This window comes from Homo sapiens, chromosome 1 (genome assembly GCF_000001405.40).
Source record: "Homo sapiens chromosome 1, GRCh38.p14 Primary Assembly".
Taxonomy (NCBI): Eukaryota; Metazoa; Chordata; class Mammalia; order Primates; family Hominidae; genus Homo; species Homo sapiens.
Window position 1 is genome coordinate 159,338,965 of NC_000001.11, and position 6,146 is coordinate 159,345,110.

Here is a 6,146-nt window from a genome sequence, read left to right on the forward strand (position 1 = left end):
CTGTTTGCTCAGTTGCTGAAATATGGACTCAACCAGGGGAAATCTTAACAGTAACTATTTTCTACAGACTGTAATTGAATATGTGAGATGTTGCCATTGAATGGTTCACTGATTTCAATAGGAAGAATGAAATCCCATTAAGAACCAAGTGGCACCATGTGCCTATCAGATAATAAAGAGTATATGTGGTTAATAAAATGGGTAGGAGTAGTCTTTAGAATTGTTTGCTTGCAGAACTGTTTGGTGCTACATAATTGACCATGACATTCCTGAGACTGAAATAGAATGAAAAATAGATCCATATAATAGTAATAATATGTTTCTAAAATCTCTAGGACTCATGAGCGTAATCCTGACTTGAGTCATCATAATGGAGAATTATACCTCTCATCTAATTTCCAGAGTAGCTCAAGTTTATATTCCCAGAACCTCTTGAATGGTGATATCCTCTTGAGGATGCACCCTATGACACTGCTGTACATACATAATATAAATTCTTTTTGTGGTCTTCTCTAAGACCACATTTATATTATACATAATATAAATTCTTTTATGGTCTTCTGCATCCATTCACCAAGGTAACTGATTATAAGGGTATATGCTGGAGAGATTACTGGACACTGCCTCTGAACTGACTTATCTATGGATACCAAACACAATTGTCTAGTCCATTTTCTGTTGCTATAACAGAATACCACAGACTGGGTAATTTATAAATAACAGAAGTTTGACTCACTGTTCTGGAGCTGGGAGGCCCATGAGAATGGCACTGGCATCTGACAAAGGTCAGCCCATGGTAGAATGAGGAAGCAAGCATGCATGTGAGGCAGAGAGAAAACTGGGCCACATTCATCCTTTTTATCAAGAACCTATTCCCATGATAACTAATGCACTTTGCTGATAACAGTATTAGCCCATTCACGGGAGCAGAGTCCTCATGACCTAATCACCTGTTAAAAGTCCTACCTCTCAACATTGTTACAATTACAATTAAATTTCAACCTGAGTTTTGGCAGAAACATTCAAACCATAGCAACAATGTAGCATAGAGGGTCAGGAAGGTCAACTAAAATTAGCAAATGTTGGTCTGAATTTATTTCATGACATGTCCAGTGATTCCCAAATGTATCCTATTTATTTCCCTATTTCTAAATGTATTATTTGAAATAGACACATTTGGCAACGTATTACACATCAGCTACTTCAACCCATTTCCTAAGTAATTTATGATACCATCAGTTTTGAGTAGGGCCCAAAACAAGGGAAGGCTCTGAAGTTAGTCAAGAATACAGTGTAAGCAGCTCTACCACTAAAGCCTTACAATTCAGTAGATTCCACGTGTTCAATGAGAGTTTATTTTTTATAGTGACTGATATGTGTGTTTATAATATATATTTGTGGCAATATCACAAGGTCTGTTCCTAAAGGTATATGGCCACCTCTTCATTCAAGGGTTCTAGTCTGAAATTGGGTGAGAGGCTATAATGATTCTCCATGTGGAGAATTAAGTTGGTATTCTGTGAAGCTACAATAGGAGGATTACAATGCAGGCCCTTCAGACTTCTTTAAAAAGCTGCACTTTCTCTAGACAAACATCTTTTAAGAAACGACTCAAATCACTGCTACGGCTGGTAAAGGCAGGTCTCTTGACCATGTATCCTAGGATGCCTATTGTGAGCTGGTTCTATGTGTCCCAACAAGCCAAAATCATCTTCATGTCTACTACCCTAGTTCCAGCTCTCATCATATTTCCATTGGAGAACTGCAGTATCTTCCTAATTAAATTTTCTGCTTCCAAATTTACTTCTCCAATTCATTTTTCTCATTTCAACTAGACTTTTTGAAATGCACATCTGATTGTGCTATTCACGGTTTTAAAAGCTTTGCTGGCTCCACATTGGCCTTACAAAGTGGCACAAGACTCTGTATGATCTCATCCCCTATTACCTTCTAACATCATCTCTTCCTCAGACTGTGTGTACAATTTTGCCTTCTTTCACTTCTCAGAATGAGTTATTATCATTAATCTCTCAAGTCCTTCACTCATGTTTTCTCTCTATCTTAAAATTTCTTTCTTGGTTGACCTATATCTATCTTAAATATTCCTGTTTGAACATCATTCCTCAGAAAAGTATTTAAAGTCTTCCCAGACTAGGACAACCTGCCCTCTCTGTTATATGCTCTCATAATGGCTCAAACCTTTCCTTATAGCATTTATTTTTGTTCATAATAATGTATTTACTTGTGAGATGATTTATTTGAAATATGCCTAGGTGGGAAGGCTATTCACTGGACAAGGACAAGAACACCTAATCAGGGAGAGAATGAGGGGTAAAATCTAGCTCACAGTGCACTTGACAAGCCATACATCCTGTTATAGATCTCCCTCTGTCTATAAGCAGGAGTGCCCTTTTACTAATTGTATAAATACAGTCTCTGCTCACAAAGGAGTGTGTACATTGGCTGCATCTACATGAAGAGTCTCCTTTTGCTAATTTGCACAAAGATAATAATGGATTAGCTATAGTTTTGTATGCCTCCCTCCTTGATAAGCTCTATGTGAGCAAACACCATGACTGTTTTTGTCATGCTTGTGTCCTCAATACTCAGCATAATTCATCGCACTTAAGCTCTCCATTAATATTTATTGGTTTAATAAATAAAGAAATGATCCTCAAACGTATAATAAATAGGCCATTTTATTTTGCAGGTTTCTTCTAGGTTCATTGGTTTGTTAACAAAATAGACTTTACATTCTAAGATGCAAGCTGCTTTGGTGAGTCAATAACCAAAGGCAATGAGTTTTGTTTTACTAATTGCCCAAATTCCTAATCAGATCCCTGGGATAGAGTCATACACTTTGCTTCCCTCCGTGCCCTGGAATGATTCTCAAGGGGAAGTCCCCAGAGTTCTAGAGCAGATGAAGTTGCTTCTCTTTCAGGAGTAAACAGAGTTCCTGGATTTGGGGTTGCAAGAGATTTCAACTCTGCAGGAAGACTTCCCAAGCCAGAGGAGTCAATGCTCTGGACCTTGAATTAGTCACCATACTCGAATCTTCCTTCAGACACTCAGGAAGTGCTGATCATCCAGGCTTGAAGCTTTCAATTTCTCCTACTAGACCTTTTGGAGAGGTTCTAATCTCAGGGTTTTTTTGTTGTTGTTGTTTATTTTATTTATTTATTTTCTTTTCATGTTCAAATACACCAGCTAAAAGGAGAATTTCTCTCATTTCCTCTGCCAAGTTTGCAAAAAGTAAGTGGTTATTGATAGGAAAAAAAGGAGAGGAAACTTGATTTTAAATTTTCTGATATACTTCCTTTTTCTCTTCAGTTTTCTGATTATTTTTGTGATATTAGAATTTCATAATTTCCCTGTATCTTGCATGATGGCTGATTGAGAGCTGATGACTTATAAAGTGAAATATAGTATTCTTACAAGCTTTATGTTTAAATAATAAAATCAGCTGCAGAAAATCTTGGAGGGAAGAGTGAATAAGACAACTTTCATAACTCCCAGAATTGTCATCTGTTCCTGATGTCCCTGGCATCTTTTGAGTCAATAAGGCTGAGATGCAGTTTTCATACAGCTATTGTCTCCTTCTTCTCTTACCTGAACACCTTGCCTGAAAATTCATTCAGTAGGGCATTGATCTGTTGGAAATGCATGGGATTTGGAGTTAGAAATATCTTTGTTTCACACCTGCAACTGCCAATTACTAGATCTGTGAGTCGGACTTAAGTAGCTTATCCCACTGAAGTAGCTTATCCCACTGAGCCTCAAATTCTCCACCTACCAAATGGGAGTATTTTATTTCCTTGCAGAGTAATCACTAGCCTTTAGGCTGGTGTATGTTAACCAAATGTTTGTTTCTGCATTTTATTTTCTAACTCCTCAGCCATTTAGAGTATAAGGGCTACCTTCATTTTTCCATCAGCTTTGAGAGTCTATATGCTCCGTTGACACCCCTTATCTATCATGCACAGTCCTGGTCAGATTACTGTTCCTGCCCCTTTTCAGCAACAATGCATGGGGGCATCAGGATCACTACTTTCAGAAAAATGTACTCAGCATAATGTGTGTGTGTGTGGGGGGGGGGCGGGCGGAGGGGTGTGAGAGAGAGAGAGAAAGAGAGAGAGAGAGAAAAAGAGAGAGAGATAGGTGGATGTGAATTAGACTGAGGCTAAGGATTCTAGACAGATAGATACTAGACTTGCCATAGCAGAGAACAATTAAAAGGAACACCATTTTCCTCTGAGCCTCACCCTCCTATCAGATGATAGTAGCTACGTCAGGAACTATGAGGAAATTAGGTAACAATTACACAGTCCATGTTCCTGCCTCTTCACAGAGACATCAAAAGCAACTCAGAATAAGATACAATGATTCCCTTTTTAAAAAATGTCTTCCTAAAGAAGGTTCATTCACTTCTGTATATCAGTGTTTCATGTATCAGTATCTCAGCTGAGATAAAAATATTTTTTTCTTCCAGTAATGAAATTTTTTTAATAGCAAAGGACTCAGTGTTCAGGGTCAAGAGAGCTGAGTTTCCAAGTTAGCTCTGCCATGAACTAAATGTGTGATATTCCTTTTTCCTTTTTGGAATTCAGTTTTCTCACTTTTCTACCACATAGTTATTTCTGATAGATTTATTATGACTTTGAAGAATAAAGAAAACTGTAAAATGCAAAAAACATTCATATACGTTTTTACCATCTTTTTAGAGAAAAGAGCTATTCACAAAAACTTAATTTAAGAATTGGAAAACTAACTCAGAATAATTATTCATGTCCCTTCTTAATGATAATCGTTTGTCAGCATTTAGTTTATCTCTCCATCTTTTCCTATATTGCCCTTTCATGTCTTTTAGCTCTAGCAGCTTCTCAGCTTCTGCAACTTAAAGAGCTTTGTGGATTTTATCCTTTCCTATCTATCTGTATGCCAGTTTTTCTGTCTTTCTTTTGCTTGGGTGCTTCATATGCTCCACATGCCTGCAATTTCCCTAAAGGAAGAGTCCATATTCTCTACCTCTCACTACCCTATAGTTCTATAGTCTAGATTTTCACTTAAATACATTTCTTGGTTTCTGTGTGCCCAAAGAAGTGTTTCTGTGTATATCTGGCAGAAGTGAGGGTCTCTTTCTTCAGACTAGAAGTATCTCAAGAGCATTCCCTTATTCATTAGTTCATTTAACACATACTTATCAAAAACTTAAAATGTGGCAAAAATTAGGATAGCTTTAGCGATATGGAATTGAGAATGATCTCTATAATAAGGAAGCTTAAAATGTAGTTGAAATGTCAGATAATAATTTCAATTGAATGTGACAAGTGCTATTATAGAAGGAATGAAATGCAAAGAGAACCAAGGAGGGAGGGATATCTAGATGGAAAGATGGTTGAGAGAATGGCCTCAAGAAAGGCTTAAAAATTTGAACATACCCTCAACCCCACTGCATAAGTAATACATACTTATCATGGACACTAGGGAAAAATTAGGAGACAGTGGGATCTTACCCATAATTACACCATGCAGAACCATATTCTACTAACATTTAGATCATTTACATTCAGCCTTTCTCTATGCAGATATTCATATAATTGAGATTATTTTGTACATACTATATCATATCCTGCTTCACTTACTATTTTCCACTGAATTATAAAATTATCATATGCATTATGTTTAAAGCTGCATAATACATATTTTTAAAATAATGTTGCATTACTTTTTGTTTACAAATGTTACATATATTCATTTATGAATTCTCTGAGTGTTTTTTCTATGTTCACATATTTACTTATACATGGATATATATCTTTCTTTTGTTTACAATATTGGGATCATATGACCTTTACCATTTTATAATATTTCTTCCATTTAACAATATCGTGAAGAGTTTTCTAGATGTGTAACATTATAAGTTTTATTGTAAAATATGGAATGCATTTAAAAATGTATGCAAAAACATACATTTTAAGAGGAATAACAAAACAAACACTTAGGTCCACTCTACCCAGGCTGAGAATTAGAATATCATCATGAATCTAGAAGCCTCATAAATGCTCCTTTCAGAAACTTTAAATATATGCCAACTAGTCCCTGTCATGAACTTTAGGTTACAGCATTTCCATATTTTTAAAAAATAG